General features: G+C 47.4%; 1 protein-coding gene across 25 annotated transcripts in view, besides 1 other annotated feature; it reads right to left on the bottom strand.

Moving 5' to 3' along the window:
• CUX1 (cut like homeobox 1) overlaps positions 1-18397 on the bottom strand; it is a 467952-nt gene that overhangs the window by 251838 nt on the left and 197717 nt on the right. For 24 of the 25 annotated variants that reach the window (NM_001913.5, NM_181500.4, NM_001202545.3 and 21 more), the window contains one exon: positions 3976-4023. The exons of the other annotated variant lie outside the window; for it this stretch is intronic. In NM_001913.5, the coding sequence (NP_001904.2) occupies positions 3976-4023 (48 nt within the window). The remainder of the gene's footprint in view (positions 1-3975; positions 4024-18397) is intronic. 25 annotated transcript variants of the gene reach the window in all.
• Positions 1411-1460: an enhancer, noted in NCBI's record as "active region_26418". NCBI's record gives its function as "activates an Ori minimal core promoter by ATAC-STARR-seq in GM12878 lymphoblastoid cells {active_cell/tissue: GM12878}" and the evidence as "EXISTENCE:reporter gene assay evidence [ECO:0000049][PMID:35858748]".

Below are 18397 nucleotides of genomic sequence, written 5' to 3'. Positions count from 1 at the left end.
TCCCACCTCTACCAAAAAATACAAAAATTTAGGCAGGCATGGTGGCAAGAGCCTGTGGTCCTAGCTACTTGGGAGGCTGAGGTGGGCAAATCGCTTGAGCCAGGGAGGCAGAGGTTGCAGTGAGCCGAGATCATGCCACCCTGCTCTCCACCCTGGGTGATAGAGCCAGACCCCATCTCAAAAAAAAAAAAAAGTACAAATTATTTAATATAAATGTCACATTTTGGGAGGGATGATGCTGGGAGTGTCTAGAGATTTAATGTGCAAACAAGGACTATAGTAAATATAATTGCAATATGAGGGATTTCTGCTAAATGAGATCTTAGCTGCTCCTGCCACACACATGAAAAAGAGTAACTAAGGGAGACGATGCATATGTTAATTTGCTTCCCCGTATAACCATTTTACTGTCTGTATGTATCCCATAGCATCATGTTGTATACCTTAAGTATACATAATAAAATTTATTTATAAATTAGCGGAGGCTTGATAAATATTAATTAATGGTGCCAAAAAATTACCTTTCTTTTGTGGGTTCAAAATCTATGATAATTTTATGTATTTATTTATGATTAGCTTTCATATGGCCTTTAAAAAAAAATAGGCAAATGGAAGCTTAGCCTAGATGTTTCTTGGGTATTTCAAATTTAAGGTATCAGGAATCAAACCCATTATCCTACTGAGAATGTGGGCTAATCTACAAGATAATTTGCTAAGACTCTTCAAAAAAGCAAACAAACAAACAAACAAAAAAATCAGGCCAGGCGCGGTGGCTCATGCCTGTAATCCCAGCACTCACTCTGGGAGGCTGAGGCAGGCAGATCACTTGAGGTCAGGAGTTTGAGACCAGCCTGATCAACATGGTGAAATCCCATCTCTACTAAAAATACAAAAATTAGCTGGGCGAGGTGGTGCATGCCTGTAATCCCAGCTACTTGGGAGGCTGAGGCAGAAGAATTGCTTGAACCTGGGAGGTGGAGGTTGTGGTGAGCTGAGATTGTGCCACTTCATCCCAGCCTGGGGGACAGAGCAAGACCCTGTCTAGAAAAAATAAAAATAAAAAGAAATGAAGGTGATGGAGATGGAGAGGATGTCCTACATTAAAAGAGATAATGCAGGGGCCGGGTACAGTGGCTCATGTCTGTAATCAAGGCACTCTGGGAAGCCAAGGTGGGAGGATGGCTTGAGCCCGGGATGTCGATACAAGCCTGGGCAATGTATTGAAACCTCGTCTCTACTAAAAATAAAAATAAATTAGCCGGATGTGGTGGTGCACATGTATAGTCCCAGCTATCTGGCGGTGGGGGCAGGGGAGTGCTAAGGCAAGAAGATTGCTGAGCCCAGGAGGTGGAGGCTGCAGTGAACCATGATGGCACCACTGCACTGCAGCCTGGGTTACCGAGCGAGACCCTGTCTCAAAAAAAAAAAACACTTTTTAAAATAGAAAATTAGATAGACAGATTTCCAAATGTAATGTGTGAACCTGACTGGACCTCAGTTGCGAGGAGGGCCGTTATAAAAGACATCTTGGGGATAATTGGAAAAATTTGATTTTGGATCAAATATGAGATGACCTGGAATTACTGTGAATTTTCCCAGGTGTGATATTTGTGGTTATTGTGGTAATGTAGGAGAATGCTAATAATTCCTTAACTTCGGGAGCCTTCCACGTGTGTTTGAGGGACACAGTGCCTGCTTCTGCAACTTACTTCTGAATGTTCAGCAAAAGTGGTGGGCGGGGAGGGGAGGGGGGAGGTACATGGGGTGAAATGTTAGCAACTGTGGATCTGGGTAAAGAGCATATAGGTGGGCCGGGCGCAGTGGCTCACGCCTGTAATCCCAGCACTTTGGGAGGTCGAAGCGGGCGGATCACCTGAGGTCAGGAATGAGAGACCAGCCTGACCAGTATGATGAAACCCCGTCTCTACTAAAAATACAAAACTCAGCTGAGCGTGGTGGCACATGCCTGTAATCCCAGCTACTTGGGAGGCTGAGGCAGGAGAATTGCTTAAATCCAGGAGGCGGAGGTTGCAGCGAGCTGAGATTGTGCCATTGCACTCCAGCCTGGGCAACAAGAGTGAAAATCTGTCTCAAAAAAAAAAAAAAGCATACAGGTATTCACTGTACTAATCTTTCCATTTTTACACAGCTTTGAAATTTTTCAATAAGAAAGAAAAACAAGCAAACACCTAGAAAGCACACTGAACTCTTTGAGCGAGAGAACTAGGAAGCCAGTGGGTCTCCCAAAAGCCGCTGGACAGGTAACAGAACAGGTAAGATCAAATGTGGGTAGGTGTCAGGTAACAGCCTCACTCATCAACTACGGGCTTGGAGATGAAGTTCTGAGAAAAAGACTGTTCAAGTCCATCCAAGCCCTGGGATGCAGGTGTCCTGCTGGCCGGACCAAGCTACGTGCATGGGGGCTGAATGAGGCAGGAAGAAGATCATAAGAAGAGAGGGGTACTGTTCTGCCCTCGAAAATTTCCAGCCATCACCAACTGCTGTGTCTTCTTTCTACGCTGGTCCCTTTTGATGTCCTGAAATCGCCTCTCTGTCTTTGGCTACAATCGCCCTGGCCTCCTTCATTCACTCACTCCCTGCTCTCGCTCCCAGTTGATGAATTTCCCAAATGGAAGCCCGACAACTTGCTCTAGAGCTCTGGGACCAGGAACCCAGCCTTCCATATATAAGGCCCACATCACCTGTGTCCCAAGAGGAACCTACTGTATCTCACGGCCATATCTCTCCTGTATCTCACGGCCATATCTCTCCTGTCCCTTCCCCCATGTGTTCCCTGTGACTTAGCAGTTGCAAGAAAATAAAATCCCTGCCAGGCACAGTGGCTCACATCTGTAATCCCAGCACTTTGGGAGGTCAAAGCAGGTGGATCACCTGAGGTCAGGAGATCGAGACCAGCCTGGCCAACATGGTGAAACTGCATCTCTACTAAAAATAGAGAAATTAGCTGGGTGTGGTGGTGCACACCTGCAATCTCATTTGCTGGGGAGGCTGAGACAGGAGAATCACTTGAACCTGGGAGACGGAGGTTGCAGTGAGACTAGATTGCACCACTGGACTGTAGCCTGAGTGACAGGGCAAGACTCTGTCGCCAAAAAAAAAAAAAAAAAAAAATCCCTAAGACTGTACCAATATGGGCTCTTTCAGGGGCTTTGGAAATGTCTCGTTTCCTTTCCTTATCAGCCTGCTATGATTCCACTTTCTGTTTTTCCGTCGGGAGAAGCTAAAGAGGTGAGATTCAATAAATCCGCAAGAATAATATAATTTCTGGTTTTCTAAACATCACTGAATCTTCACACAAAGGGCTGGCAAAGAGTGTCACTCACGTGGAGCCCAGTCCCCTCTATGGCTGCTGTTCCCGCTAACAGGTAGCCAGGGCGGATGTCCCAGGTGACTTGCCACCCACGTGCCGTCTGCCAGATGGCTCCGTCCTTCTCTGGAAGGATCCGTTAGAAACCACTTCCTTCTACTGAGCCTAGGCTTGCTCCTCGTGGCTTCTGCTAGATGCTCTGTGTTTCAAGCCTGTGATCAAGTGGCCTCCCTGTGCCCCCGCCAGCCTCTCAGCAAAGCACCACACTTATGGCACACACTCATGGCAGTGGCAGCCCCAGACCAGCTCAGGGGGACAAGGCGACTTCCTAGAGGGGATGCATGGGCTCCTGAAGGCCGTAGCGCCAACAACCTGCCTGTTGCAACCACACACGGGGCACTTCTGCTGGCAATCCACCACAGCTCTGTGTATTCTGAGCATAGCTTCCTTTTCCAGGAGGGCTTTCACCAAGGACCCAATGGAAAATCACATCACAGAGCGCAAAATCTGCATGACGCTGGGTCGGAGCAGCCGGGAAGGCACCATCTGGGCAGCACCTTTTGCCCGGAGCATTTCTTTAATGTGAATAAAAAGACCAATTAGCCACGAAGGGTGGCTCAGGATAGAAAATGAATAGAAAAGCTTACCTCTCCTTGGAAACTCTTCAGCAGCGGCGCTACCTGCTTGCGCAAATCCTGGAGCAGGAGGCGGAGGTCAGGAAGCAGCCATTTGAGAAGGAGAAAGAAGGGAAACATTGGTTAAGGCCTCCTAAAAACAGCGTGGCAGTCAGTGCTAATTATCACTATCTAAAGCAAGCCTGGGACCTCACCCATTCCTGCACTCCTAAAACATCAATAACGCCAACTGGCGCTTCAGGATTTAAACTTATTTAAGAATACAACGAGGTGGTTCTTTGTTGTTCTTGTTGTTGAAGACAGAGTCTCATTCTGTTGACCAGGCTGGAGCACAGTGGCACAACCCTGGCTCACTGCAACCTCTGCCTCCTGGGCTAGAGTCATCCTCCCACCTCAGCCTACCAAGTAGCTGAGACTACAGGCGTACGCCACCATGCCTGGTTAATTTTTGTATTTTTTTGTAGAGACAGGGTTTCATCATGTCGTCCAGGCGAGGGTCAAACTCCTGGGCTTAAGAGATGTGCCCACCCTAGCATCCCAAAGTGCTGGGATTACAGGTGTGAGCCACCGCACCTGGCCTACAACGATGTTTTATTTCTACTAACTCCTGGTCACATATACCTCATTTTGAATGTGCTACAGACTAAAGCTTTTGCTGATGTCAGTCTAAGTGAGATAATCTGCTTAGAATAAAATAGACTAGAATGGGGGGTTTGCCTGGCTGTTTCTATCTGAAATGGACCTGGGCCACTGCACTGTATTTTAGCTGCCTCTTCTTTTTTTTTGAGATGGAGTCTCGCTCTGTCGCCTAATCTGGAGTGCAGTGGCAAGATCTCAGCTCACTGCAACCTCTGCCTTCTGGGTTTGAGTGATTCTCTCACCTCAGCCTCCCGAGTAAGTGGGACTACAGGCGCCCGGCTAATGTTTGTATTTGTAGTAGAGATGGGTTTTTGCCATGTTGGCCAAGGTGGTCTGGAACTCCTAATCTCAGGTGATCCGCCCACCTTCATCTCCCAAAGTGCTGGGATTACAGGCATGAGCCACCATGGCCGGCCCTAGCTGCCATTTTAATGCACTGTTAAGTCGGAGATACAGCCTGTTTTGAATCCACATCTGACAGAGTCACAATAAATTTTATCCCATGCCACCAGTGCCCATTTCGAAACACCAGGACATCCCATAGGTGCATGCTTATGATCTTGTTCAGAGCATTTTATTTAAAATGAAGTAACTGAGAAAGTGCTTCAAAAACTTTGAAAAGACTCGACTAAGATAATATCTTATTTACTGAAAGTTTAGGCATTGAAACTATGTTTTTTTTTTTTTTTTTTTTTTTTTTAAAGACGGAGTCTCACTGTTGCCTAGGCTGGAGTGCAGTGGCGAGATCTCGGCTTACTGCAACCTACACCTCCCAGGTTCAAGTGATTCTCCTGCCTCAACCTCCTGAGTAGCTGGGACTACAGGTGCCCACCACCATGCCTGGCTAATTTTTGTATTTTTAGTAGAGACGGGGTTTCACCATGTTGGCTAGGCTGTTCTCAAACTCCTGACCGTAGGTGATCCGCCCACCTCAGCCTCCCAAAGTGCTGGGATTACAGGCATGAGCCACCGGGCTAGGCCTACATTTTAGTTGATGAAGCCTTCTGAGAATCTGAGGAAAGCTACTGACCTTGCCATTAGAAATAAAACTCTGCAAATTATTTTATCAGAGGCTTCCTAAGTAAGACCTATCAAGATCCCAGATGAAAAAGTCTTCTTATTCAACACATACAGCCATATGTGCTTATTTATATTTAAATATAACTTAAAGTTAAATAAATTTGGAAAATTCAGTTTCTTAGTTACCCTAGCCACAGTTCAAGGATTCGGTAGCCACCCGTTGCTGGTGGCTACTGCTTCCAACAATGCAGACACAGAATTTTTCCATCATTGCAGAGGGACCTACAGGACAGGCCTGTACAGCAAGCTTTTGTTTTTTTGAGACAGGGTCTTGCTCTGTCATCCAGGTTAGAGTGTAGTGGTGTGATCATAGCTCACTGCAGCCTCAACTTCCTGGGTTCAAGCGATCCTCCCACCTCAGCCTCCCAAGTAGCTGGGACTACAGGCGCACACCATCATGCCTTGCTAATTTTCTTATTTTTTTGTAGAGATAAGGGTCTTGCTATGTTGCCCAGGCTGGTCTTGAATTCCTGGACTCAAGCGATCTGCCTGTCTTGATCTCCCACAGTGCTAGGATTACAGGTGTGAACCACTGCACCTGGCCACTGTACCACAAGTTTTTTGACAAATATCATCACAGCCCACGTTATTTTGTATTGTGATCCTGTAGAAACATTTGGTCAAGAAGCATTATAATTTCCCTTTTAACTATATACTGTTCCAAAGGATGCATTTCTAAACGTGATACCATTATTTCCTTGGAGAAGTCAATCCTGTTACTTCCTCAACTAGATGATTTTCTATTTTTTTACACCAGGCTCCAGGACAAAAAATAATCAGATTCTTTACCAATCTTTTTTTTTTCCCACCTAAGACGGGGTCTGGCTCTGTCACCCAGGCTGGAGTACAGTGGCATGATCTCGGCTCACTGTAACCTCCACCTCCCGGGTTCAAGGGATCCTCTCACCTCAACTTCCCATGTAGCTGGGACCACAGGCATGCGCCACCACACCCGGCTAGTTTTTGTATTTTTCGTAGAGACAGGATTTCACTATGTTGCCCAGGCTGGTCTTGAACTCCCAGGTTCAAGCGATATGCCTGCCTTGGTCTCCTGAAGTGCTGTGGATTACAGGCGTGAGCCACCATGCCTGGCCACCAATCTCTTTTTATATAAATAAGGCTATCTGTGGTCAGCACCAATAATAGTCCGCCAGAGATAACCACGTCCTCATAGCTGGCGCCTGTGAATGTGTTAGATTGCAATGGTAAAAGGGGCTTTTGCAGATGGGATTATGTCAGGGATCATGAGTCAGGAGATGACCCTGGATTATCCAGGTGGGCCCAGTGTAATCCCAGTGCTCCTAGTAAGAGACAGGCAGGAGGCTCAGAGTCAGAGGAGATCTGAGGACCGACGCAGAGGTCGGAATGCTATAGGAATGCCGGCAGCGCGAGAGGCTGGAAACTGCCAGGAAACTGATTCTCCCCCAGAGCTTCTAATAGGAACACAACTCTGGCTGACACCTTGATTCCAGCCTGGGGAATCCATCCCACTTTGGACTCCTGAACTCGAGCACTGTCACATGATAAATTTCTGTTGTTTTAAGCCACTCGGCGCATGGCAGGTTGCGACAGCAGCAACAGGAAGCTAACACATCACCGCATTTCACCCACTGTGCTTTTCAGAAAGGTAGAGGACAACATATAACACAAAGGGTAACAAGGGAAAAGAGTGTGGAAGGCGTAAAGAATGATGGGGGAAGATTACTATGATCCCAGCAGGGTCCAGGGAAAACGACCATGGGGCCTGGCACACAGTGGGGACTCAAAAGACATGGAAAGGGTGCATGAGGGAATGAATGGAAGAATAGCTATGGCTGGGCACGCTGGCTCACACCTGTAATCCCAGCACTTTGGGAGGCTGAGGCAAGTGGATCACCTGAGGTCAGGAGTTTGAGACCAGCCTGGCCAGCATGACGAAACCCCATCTCTACTCAAAATATAAAAATAAGCTGGGCGTGGTGGTGCATGCCTGTAGTCCAGGTTACTCAGGAGGCTGAGGTGGGAGGATCGCTTAAACCGCGGAGGCAGAGGCTGCAGTGAGCTGAGACTGCACCAATGCCCTCTAGCCTGGGTGACAGAGTGAGACTCTGTCTCAAAGAAAAAACAAAAAAAGGCTTAACAAGGGCTCAGATTCAGAGGGGAAGGAGACAAGTCAGATGAGGTCATGGAATGAGAAAGCTGGTGTGGCTGAGAGATTTCAGACTGTAGCAGAGAAATGGAAGAGGGCAGAGCTGGATGGAGGAGAGCAGGGGGCTGGGGCGCAGGGGCAAGGCCAGGCCCTGAATGGCAGTGTGCCTTAGCAGGCATGCTCCTGGGTTACCCCCAACCCTGCCAACCTGGCACAGGGCCAGCCTCACGCAAACACCAGCTCTGAGAAGTACAGGAGATGATACAATTATTTCTATATTCTGTTACAGCATTCCAGAAAGGCAGAAGGGCTATGCCTTTTATCATGTCCTTAAATAAAGCAAACTCCTCTCACCCTATCCATGTATTTTTTTCCCTTTTGAGCATATTCATGTCTCCTAACAGACCTACAAAAATAACCTTTTTGATATTAAAGCTACGTGTGTTTGTACACACACTCACGCACGCACACATATTTAAAGACAGTTGAAGAGGGAAAAACCACTACATACTCACACGTATCATACACAAACTGATATATATGTACTTCAAGCTGCCAGCCAAAAATCACTCATTCTAATTTCATCTTTGGCAGTTTGAGAAATTCCCGATCCAATTCTGCTGCCTGCAAATATTATTCAGTTTTGTACTAAACTAAGAAGAAAGATACAAAGATGTTCAATTCTGGCCAGGCACGGCGGCTCACGCCTATAGTCCCAGCACATTGGGAGGCTCCCCACCTCAACCCGGGTGGTTGAGGCTGCAAGTGAGCCAAGATCATGCCATTACACTCCAGCCTGGGTAACAGAGAGAGACTCTGTCTCAAAAAAGATGCTCAATTCTGACCCACAGAATTCTCCATCGTCGGTTAGCAAGGACATGATACGATTTACTGTCTTTCTAGAACACAGCACTCTTTGCTGTCTGGACAGCACCAGAAAATGCAGACTCTGCCACTTACTGGTCCTCATGCACACCCGCACAATCCTTCTTTGTGGTCATAAACTGGAAAAAGTGGGGTTCAGGCTGGCCAAAACCACAGTGGAACAAATGATAAGGAGGCAGTGAACACGTTTAAAAACTTTTTTGCGGGGAGGGGGATGGAGTCTCGCTCTGTCACCCAGGCTGGAGTGCAGTGACGTGACCTCGGCTCACTGCAACCTCCACCCCCCAGGTTCAAGCGATTCTCCTGCTTCAGCCTCCCAAGTAGCTGAGACTATAGGTGCGAGCCACCCCGCCCTGCTAATTTTTGTACTTTTAGTAGAGACAAGTTTTCACCATGTTGGCCAGGCTGGTCTCGAACTCCTGACCTCAAGTAATCTGCCCACCTCGGCCTCCCAAAGTGCTGGGATTACAGGCTTGAGCCACTGCACCCGGCCATGTTTTAAAACTTAATTACTTCAAGTTACACGTTACACACTTAATTCAGTTATATACTTAATTCAGGTTTGTCAGTGATGTTTTCACCTTGTTTCCATCCCATCCCATCTATTGGGCAAAAAGCAACAAACATCTTAATGCACAGAAAGTGATGTTCTTGAGATAATTCCAATCATATGCCTTTTGGCAAAAGCCAAAATAGCTCATGTCAACCTCCTCTCCTTTGAGTACACAGCAAATAAATGATGTTTACACAGAGAGGTTTCTATGTGGAAGGATTTCCATTCTTTTCTTTTTCTTTTCTTTTTTTTTTTTTTTGAGACAGTGTCTCGCTCTTCCAGGCTGGAGTGCAGTGGCTCAATCATAGCTCACTGCAGTCGTGACCTCCCGGGCACGAGCAATCCTCCCATCTCAGCACCCCGAGCAGCTGGAACTAGAGGCATGCGCCACCATGTCCGGCAAATTTTTGCATTTTTTGTAGAGACGGGGTTTCGCCATGTTGCCCAGGCTGATTTCAAACTCCTAGGCTCAAGTGATCCACCCACATCAGCCTCCCAGAGTGCTGGGATTACAGGCGTGTGCTACTGTGTCTGGCCGTATTTCCATTATTCTCGAAACTGCTGATTCACAACTCAGTTTTTAGGTCAGAGAACTGAACAGCAAAATGCTATTAAGGAATTTTCTAGGTAATGCCAATTGCTGGAGGAAACCATTCTGATGTAAAAGCAAAATAGAGACAAAATCGTCATGCAGTGTTCAATTGCACCTGTAACGTACGAGCGGGAGTCGTAACACACACACTCCCGAGCCCTCTCTGGAAGGCTCTGCTCCATCTTAGGGCCTCGTGCTCCCAATTCCCATGAGCTCTCTTCCACTCCCCATATCCCAGAGTCGCGTGCCAGGGACCCAGAGCTGGTGACACGCTGAGCTGCTGCATGGAGGTTCACCTCTGTCTGCAGGAGCGAGAGGCTCACTGGAATCAGCACAAACACAATGCACACATAGAAGGAGGCTGTGAATTACAAACACATCTCCAAAGTCATCAAGTCATTTCTGTTTTTAAAATATCTGGGCCGGGTGTGGTGGCTCACACCTGTATTCCCAGCACTTCGAGAGGCTGAAGCGGGCAGATCACCTGAGGTCAGGAGTTGGAGACCAGTCTGACCAACATGGAGAAACCCCATCTCTACTAACAAAAAATACGAAATTAGGTGGGCATGGTGGTGCATGCCTATAATCCCAGCTACTCAGAAGGCTGAGGCAGGAGAATCGCTTCAACCCAGGAAACTCCATCCAAAAAAAAAAAAAAAAAAAAAAGAGAAAAAAAAGTATCTGGTAGCTCACAACTGTAATCCCAGCACTTTGGGAGGCCAAGGCAGGAGGATTGCTTGAGCCCAGGCATTCGGGACCAGCTTGGGCAACGTGGTGAAATCCCGTCTCTAGAAAAAAATACAAAAATTAGTGAGTATGGTGGTGCAGGCTTGTAGTCCTATCTATTTTGGAGGCTGAGGTGGAGGATGGCTTGAGCCTAGGAGTTTGGGATGGCAGTGAGCTATGACTGTGCCACTGTAATCCAGCCTGGGTGACAGAGCAAGACCCTGTCTCCAAATGGGGGAAAAAAAAATCTGATAATCCAGGTTTTTCTGGATGTCTTTTTCATCCTACAGTAACTTGGATACTTTTCTGGGAAATAACCCTGACTGCATTTAAGAGGTACAACATCTCTTGGTGGTACCCCATCCTGTACAGTGACAGTTCAGGGGTGGGACCCTTTCTCCTTCGGAGACAATGTAGTCTTTCCAAGAGCACTAGGGCAGGGTGGGGGTAGTGAGGGGCTGAACTGGGTCACTTCTGAAAGACTTGATTCTGACTCTCACAAGGTTGTTGCCAATGGTGCTAGAGGTGGGGACCCTTAGGGACCTGGCCCTGTGGCTTGGCCTGTTGTCACCTTCTGTTCCAGATCTCCCTCATCTGGGGTAATTCTCCGCTCTTGCCTCTCCCCTCTCCTCTGGTCTTAGCTCACTTTGTAATTTCTTTTTTTTTTTTTTTTCCAAACCGAGTTTTGCTCTTGTCACCCAGGCTGGAGTGCAGTGGCGCGATCTCAGCTCACTGCAACCTCTGCCTCCTGGGTTCAAGCAATTCTCCTGCCTCAGCTTCCCAAGTAGCTGGGATTACAGGCGCCCGCCACCATGCCCAGCTAATTTTTGTATTTTTAGTAGAGACGGGGTTTCACCATGTTGGCCAGGCTGGTCTTGAACTCCTGACCTCAAGGGATCCACCTGCCTTGGCCTCCTAAAGTGTTGGGATTACAGGCGTGAGCCACCACGCCTGACCCCAATGTCTTTTTATAAGGTCCTGGTAGCAGCAATGAGAGAACAGTAATTACTAATGAAAGAAAAAATGTTCTTAGTATTTATTTTCCTGGATGTCACGTTAGATAGCTGTTAAGTTTCCCTTATCAATGTATACAAGAGCTCAGACCAGGTATGGAGTCTTTAAAAACAAGACAATATATATTATATGATATGTGGACTGTAGACCTCAACTTAAAATCCAGTTCAGTGAAAAATGATGTTTCTTTTGTTCCAGGATACTGAAACCGTCACTTCCCATCTCATCTGAAGATGAACCATATAACCATCAACACGGCATCGTTCCTTTGGTTACTTTTATAGATGAACACATATTCCTTCCAGTCCTTGTGATAGAAAAGGGTAATTTTAAATGGCATTGAAACTCAAGTATTAAATAAAAAATATCTTTCTATACAACAGCAGACAGTAAGTATGTCCTGGCAATTTCTCAAAGATTTTAGTTCACAGGTTTGAGAAAAATTCCATTAGCTTTAATTATTTATCAGCAGTCAATTTAGATTACTGTTCTTGACCTATTTTTACAGTGTATAGGCCACCCAGCAATGAAATAAATGAATAGTCTTTTTCTACAATGGCTGATTTTCTGAAATAAAAGAAATCTGGTTTAAAGGAGGAATGAAACCCCAAACATGTAATTACCACAATATATAACCCGCCACGCTGCTTTTGTAGTCGGATAAAATGCACATCTTTGTGAGTTTTTTGGTTATTAAATAAGATTATCTTGAAAGGGATAAACTCACTCCTGCTATAATTTCTTCCCATTTAAATGTCTTTGTGCCATTTAAAACACGTTCCGTGTCCTGGCAGAGTCTCCAATGCTGATGCTGTGGCTTTTGCGTGGTACGTGGTACAACTCCACCACGGGAAGGGCTGGCTTTGGGGGACTGGTGGGATTGGGAACTGAGATGAGGGTGCAGGATTTCAACATAGGGTGCCTGCTGGTAAGCAGCGAGGGGTACCCTGAAGCTGCAGGTGGGGACCCCTGAGTTCCTGATCAAGAGGGGATCTGCAAGACTTGTCTGATGATGAGACCGGGCATGGTGGCTCATACCTGTAATCCCAGCACTTTGGGAGGCCAAGGCAGGTGGATCACATGAGGGCAGGAGTTCAAGACCAGCCTCGCCAACATGGTGAAACCCCAACTCTACTAAAAATAGAAAAATTAGCCAGGCGTGGTGGCATGTGCCTTTAATCCCAGCTACTCCAAAGGCCGAGGCAGAATTGCTTGAACCCGGGAGGCAGAGGCTGCAGTGAGCCGAGATTGTGCCACTGCACTCCAGCCTGGGCAACAGAATGAGACTATGTCTCAAAAAACAAACAAACAAAAAAAGACTTGTCTGATGTTGAAAAGTGGGGTGGGAGGGGGGCGCGGGGGCGGTTATCTAAGTGGCAATGCCTGAATGTGGACCGAGGAGGATAAAGGCTGAGGATGGTGCAAAGGACTAAGAAGAAGGGCAGATTCGAACTGCACAGAGGCCGTGATCTGGCAGCACGTGGCCACGGCTCAGGATTATGGTGGAGCCTGGATGCCAATGCCACTAAGCCAACGATCCTCAAAGCAGGGTCTGGGGACTCCCGGCTCCCCAGATCCTTTCATGGATCCACAAGGTCAAAACTATTCTTGTTACTTGCCTTTTCCTCGCCTTCTCCCGCAAGTGTACAGTGGAGTTTTCCAGATGCCTGCGATGTGTGATGATAGCCTCACTCTGACACCAGCGGCTCGTGTGTTTGTGTGTTCCTGTGCTTTGCAGACTCCTCAGCTTTCATGTCTAACACAGTCAATACTGAGAGATACAGCGCACGCACGCACGCACGCACTCAAGCTCTCCGGAGTCCTCAATTTTAAGAGACTGAAACTTTGAGAAATGGTTGCACTAAGGCTTCTTCTGGTCTCAGAGCTGAGAACTGCTCATTGTCAAGGGAAAGGCTGTTTGTCCACTCTGAGATCCTGTGTGTGGCCTCAGGGGCAGCTCAGACAGGACAGCCAGAGCCTCGTTGGCATCTGGGGATCAGACACCCCAGTGAGAGGGGCATGCAAGCGCCAGCTCCAGTACCCTGGGCTGGATCTTCCCTGCCTAGTCTCCAAAGCCATGTGTCCTGGGCTAGCCCACCTGGCACAGGAATTTCCTGCAGGACTGTCCTCATGGCCAGGGGATCAGTGGTAGGAAATGGGAGAAGCCAAATTCAGGCTCCATTGGTTAATTCTCTTAAATAAGTCTGATTTGACTCTAGGTCTGATTTCAAAATATTCTTCCAGGTCCCTTTCTGAATAACTGCTCATGTCGAAACCTCTGACTGGGCACAGTGGCTCACACCTGTAATCCCTGCACGTTGGGAGGCCCAGACAGGAGGATTGCTTGAGGCCAGGAGTTCAAGACCAGTCTAGGCAAGATAGGGACACTCCTGCTCTACAAAAAGTTTCTAAAAAAATTACCCAGGCATGGTGGCAAGTGCCTATAGTGCGAGCTACTCGGAAGGGTGAGGTGGGAGGATCACTTGAGCCCAGGAGGTTGAGGCTACAGTGAGCTATAATCATGCCACTGCACTCCAGCCTGGGTGACAGAGCAAGACTTCATCTCAAAAATAAACAAATCTCTAGTTACATTTCAGAACTTTGAAAATACATCTGTGATTTACTGATGTATCTATACATCAATTACATCAATAGATTTGGAACTTGTCAAAGAGAGGAACCACATGTTTTTCTGAGACAGAGTCTCGCTCTGTTGCCCAGGCTGGAGTGCAGTGGTGTGATCTTGGCTTACTGCAACCTCCGCCTCCCAGGCTCAAGCGATTCTCATGCCTCAGCCACCTGAGTAGCTGGGATTACAGGTGTGTGTCACCATACCTGGCTAATTTTTGTATTTTTTAGTAGAGATGGGGTTTCTCCATGTTGGCCAGGCTGATCTGAAACTCCTGACCTCAGGTGATCCACCCATCTCGGCCTACCGAAGCGCTGGGTTACAGGCGTGAGCCACCGCACTGGCCCACATATTGTATTTTAATTTATTCAAAAACCATTTGAGCATTAACTACGAGCAGTGAATGAGACAGTCACAGTCCCTGCCCTCAGGGAGCTTAGCGAGAATGGTGAGGTCTCAATTTCTAGGAGACATTTGAGGAGATGTACATTCCTCCGTTCTATTCCTGGGCCAAAGGATGGTGCTAGGTTCGGGGCAGACACAGTGAATACTTGTGGACTGAATGAATGAAGAGATGCTCTTCCCAGACTCATCACCAAGCTCACTTTTTTTTTTTTTTTTGAGATGGAGTCTCTCTGTGTCCCCCAGGCCGGAGTGCAGTGGTGCGATCTTGGCTCACTGCAACCTCCGCCTCCCAGGTTCAAGCAATTCTCCTGAGTAGCTGGGAGTATAGGCGCCCACTACCACGTCAGGCTAATTTTTGCATTTTTAGTAGAGACAAGGTTTCACCGTGTTGGCCAGGCTGGTCTCAAACTCCTGACCTCAGGTGATCTACCCACCTCGGCCTCCCAAAGTGATGGGATTACAGGCATGAGCCACCACACCCAGCCCAAGCTAACGTTTTATGGACACTGCTGCAAAGGGGACTCCTGTGCTAGACAGGGATGGACCCCAAAGGCACCATTTCACCCCAGGACTCTCTGAAACCAACCAGGACGTGTGACTCCGACTTTTGCCACTGTGTCATTTATTCCAGATCTTAGGCCCTGCTAATATTTAGACAAATGGGCTGTTTAAAATCAGAACGCAGATTAATCCTTCCTCTTAGTACTTTCAGGAGTCTATCCGTAAGAATAATCAGAGATGTAGGCAGAGATTTATGCACAAGAATGTTCAGCATGAGTTTAGAACAGAGAACAACTGGGAACAATGTGGATTCCGACACCAGGGGAGTACTTATGAGAGAATTCTACTAAAGCAATGCAATTGCATATTAGGTACTCAGTATAATTCTTTGTAAGGAACGAGGTCTCGCTCTGTCGTCCAGGCTGGAGTGCAGGGGTGTGGTCATGGCTCAGTGTAATCTGGAGTATCATTATTTTTTGGAGTACCATTATTTTTTGAAGAACAGCAAAGACTTGGAATGAGGCACGTGACTTCCATTTATGCGACAGATGTTTGTTGAGTGGCTATTTTGGGCCTTCCGGCCCTGTTTTAGGGGCTCCTTCAATCATGAGCAGAGACCACAGGCTGCTGTGCCTCCTGGGCCTCTGTTGTGTGGCAGGTGAGACATGAGTCAAATCACCACCAGCATGGATGACACTTATCTGTGGCCGGTGCTGCAGAAGGGCATGTGGAGCGAAGGGAGTTTAAGAGGCAAGCCTGGCCGGGCACAGGGGCATGTGCCTGTAATCCCAGCACTTTGGGAGGTTAAGGCGAGAGGACTGCTTTAGCTCTGGAGCTCAACACCAGCCTGGGCAACATAACCAGACCCCATCTCTACTAAAAATCAAAAAAATTAGCTGGGTGTGGTGGCATGAGCCTGTCGTCCCAGCTACTTGGGAGGCTAAGGGAGGATCGCTTGAGCCTAGGAGGTCGAGACCACCCCGGGCAACAGAGCAAGATCCCATCTCTACAAAAAAATTTTAAAAAGTAGCCACGTGTAGTGGCATGTGCCTGTAATCCCAGCTACTTGGGAGTGAGGTGGGAGGACTGCTTGAGCCTAGGAGGTCATGGCTGCAGTGAGTCGTGATCGCGCCACCACACTCCAGCCTGGTGACAGGGTGAGACCCTGCTTCCAAAAAAAGAAAAAGAAAAAAAGAGGCAGACCTGACCCTAGACAGGAGAGAAGGCTCCTTTGGGGAAGGAGCACGTGAACTCAGATCTGGACGATGCATAGCGGGTGGATGAGTGAAAGGAGCCACGAACTTTTATAAAGCTTGTTTACAGTCTGATCCCAACATGGTAACAATGAATCTCACACACATATAAGCATTTGGACACCACCACCAGGAAAGACATCAGTATGAAATGGGAGATGTTTCTAAGTGAACACAATTATGGTTTTTCTTTTTCCTTTGTCTTTAAATAAACTGTATCCTTTCGGCTGGATGCGGTGGCTCACACCTGTAACCCCAGCAATTTGGGAGGCTGAAGTGGGTAGATCACCTGAGGTCAGGAGTTCGAGACCAGCCTGGCCAACACAGTGAAACCCCGTCTCTACTTAAAATACAAAAATTAGCTGGGCATGGTGGTGTGTGCCTGTAGTCCAAGCTACTTGGGAGGCTGAGGCAGGAGAATTGCGTGAACCTGGGAGGCGGAGGTTGCAGTGAGCCGAGATCACGCCACTGCACTCCAGCCTGGGTGACAGAGTGAGACTCCATCCCAAAAATAAAATAAAATCAGATCTCAGGCACTCTCCTTTTGCAGTTCCAGTTTGATTTTGTTTCACCGCCTGGATGCCTGACTTCACGTTTATTCATCGCTTGTGTGCAACTAGTTTACCTAAAATTAAGCAGCTTGAAAAAGACATCCTTTTGTCTTAGGTTCATAATCAGCACATATTGTTTATTAATATTTACTAGCTTCACAGAGCTGCTCAGAGGAATAATTAATAATGAACGATGGGTAAATCTACTTGCAGACACAAAGCATGGTGGACACGGAGGCAGGGTCTTGGCAAGGCACCTGGTAACCCATGTGCAGCCAGAAAGACAGAGCTAAGCGGTAACCTCACAATTTTTAGATGCTTTTTTTCTTTTTTTTTTTTTTTTGGTGGTTGGGGGATACTACAGAGCCACTGGCATCAAAAATGCAGCCCATAATTTCTTAATTTCTAAATGGAATTATTTATACCATACAGATAGCAACCAAGCCTAAGCAACATGTAACTTAGGGGGCAACTTGGGAATTTAAACCTTTGAAACTAGATTTTATGTTTAAAGACGCTCAGAGACTTCCCAACGGATTATCCCAACCTAGCAGGCGAAGGAGAAACAAAAACTTCCAAGCAAAGAAAGGCTTCCTGGCCCTCCCCGACTTTAGCATCCCCGATGGCAGAGCAGCACGCGGCTAGGAAGCGGACCTAACGTCACTGCAGCCAAGAAAGTCCATTCAAGGGCACCAAAGAAGCAGCAACTTAGTTTCATCCAGTTTTATCCAGCAGGTCCCAGCCCTTGGAGACCCCAGAGGGCTCTGCAGAGCGTAGAGCGTATCTAAAAAGAAGTCTAATTTGTATTGATCTCTATGCCCAACTTTGCAATTCTCAGGATGTGTGCTGTTTTAAAATGAGCACATTTCACAGGAAATTCTGGGTGGGAAATGGTGGCTGTGTTGTGGGAGTGAGTGGTGGCCATACCGAGTACCCCTTATGTCTGTCTTTTGAGATACTATGAATGTAGCTTCTAAAAGGTGTGTCTAACAGCAACCCGCTTCGAAGGCCACAGAGGTCGGTCTCTTGTGAGCTTGCTGCCCAGGAGAGTTCCAGGGACCTGAACAGAGATAGACACAGTTTAGAAGCTGCTTGGACCTGAAGGATACACACGGCTCAGTACCTGTTTTGCAACCTGTCCCTGTATATGGAGCCACAAATTGCACCTTACTCAATAACAGATTAAAACAAAAAACAGGCTGGGCATGTTGATGCATGCCTATAATCCCAGCACTTTGGGAGGCTGAGGTGGGAGGATTGCTTGAGCCCAGGAGTTCGAGACCAGCTTGGGCAACATGGCGAGACCCTGTCTCTACAAAAAATACAAAAATTAGCGAGGCATGGTGGTGTGTGCCTATGGTCCCAGCTACTCGGGAGGCTGAGGTGGAAGGATGGCTTAGCCCAGAGAGGTCGAGGGTGCAGTGAGCCGTGACTGTGCCACTGCACTCCAGCCTGGGAGACAGAACAAGCCCTTTCTC

Source organism: Homo sapiens, chromosome 7, assembly GCF_000001405.40.
Source record: "Homo sapiens chromosome 7, GRCh38.p14 Primary Assembly".
Taxonomy (NCBI): Eukaryota; Metazoa; Chordata; class Mammalia; order Primates; family Hominidae; genus Homo; species Homo sapiens.
Note: the sequence above shows the minus strand (reverse complement) of the source record. Positions and strands in the feature narration are given on the sequence as shown.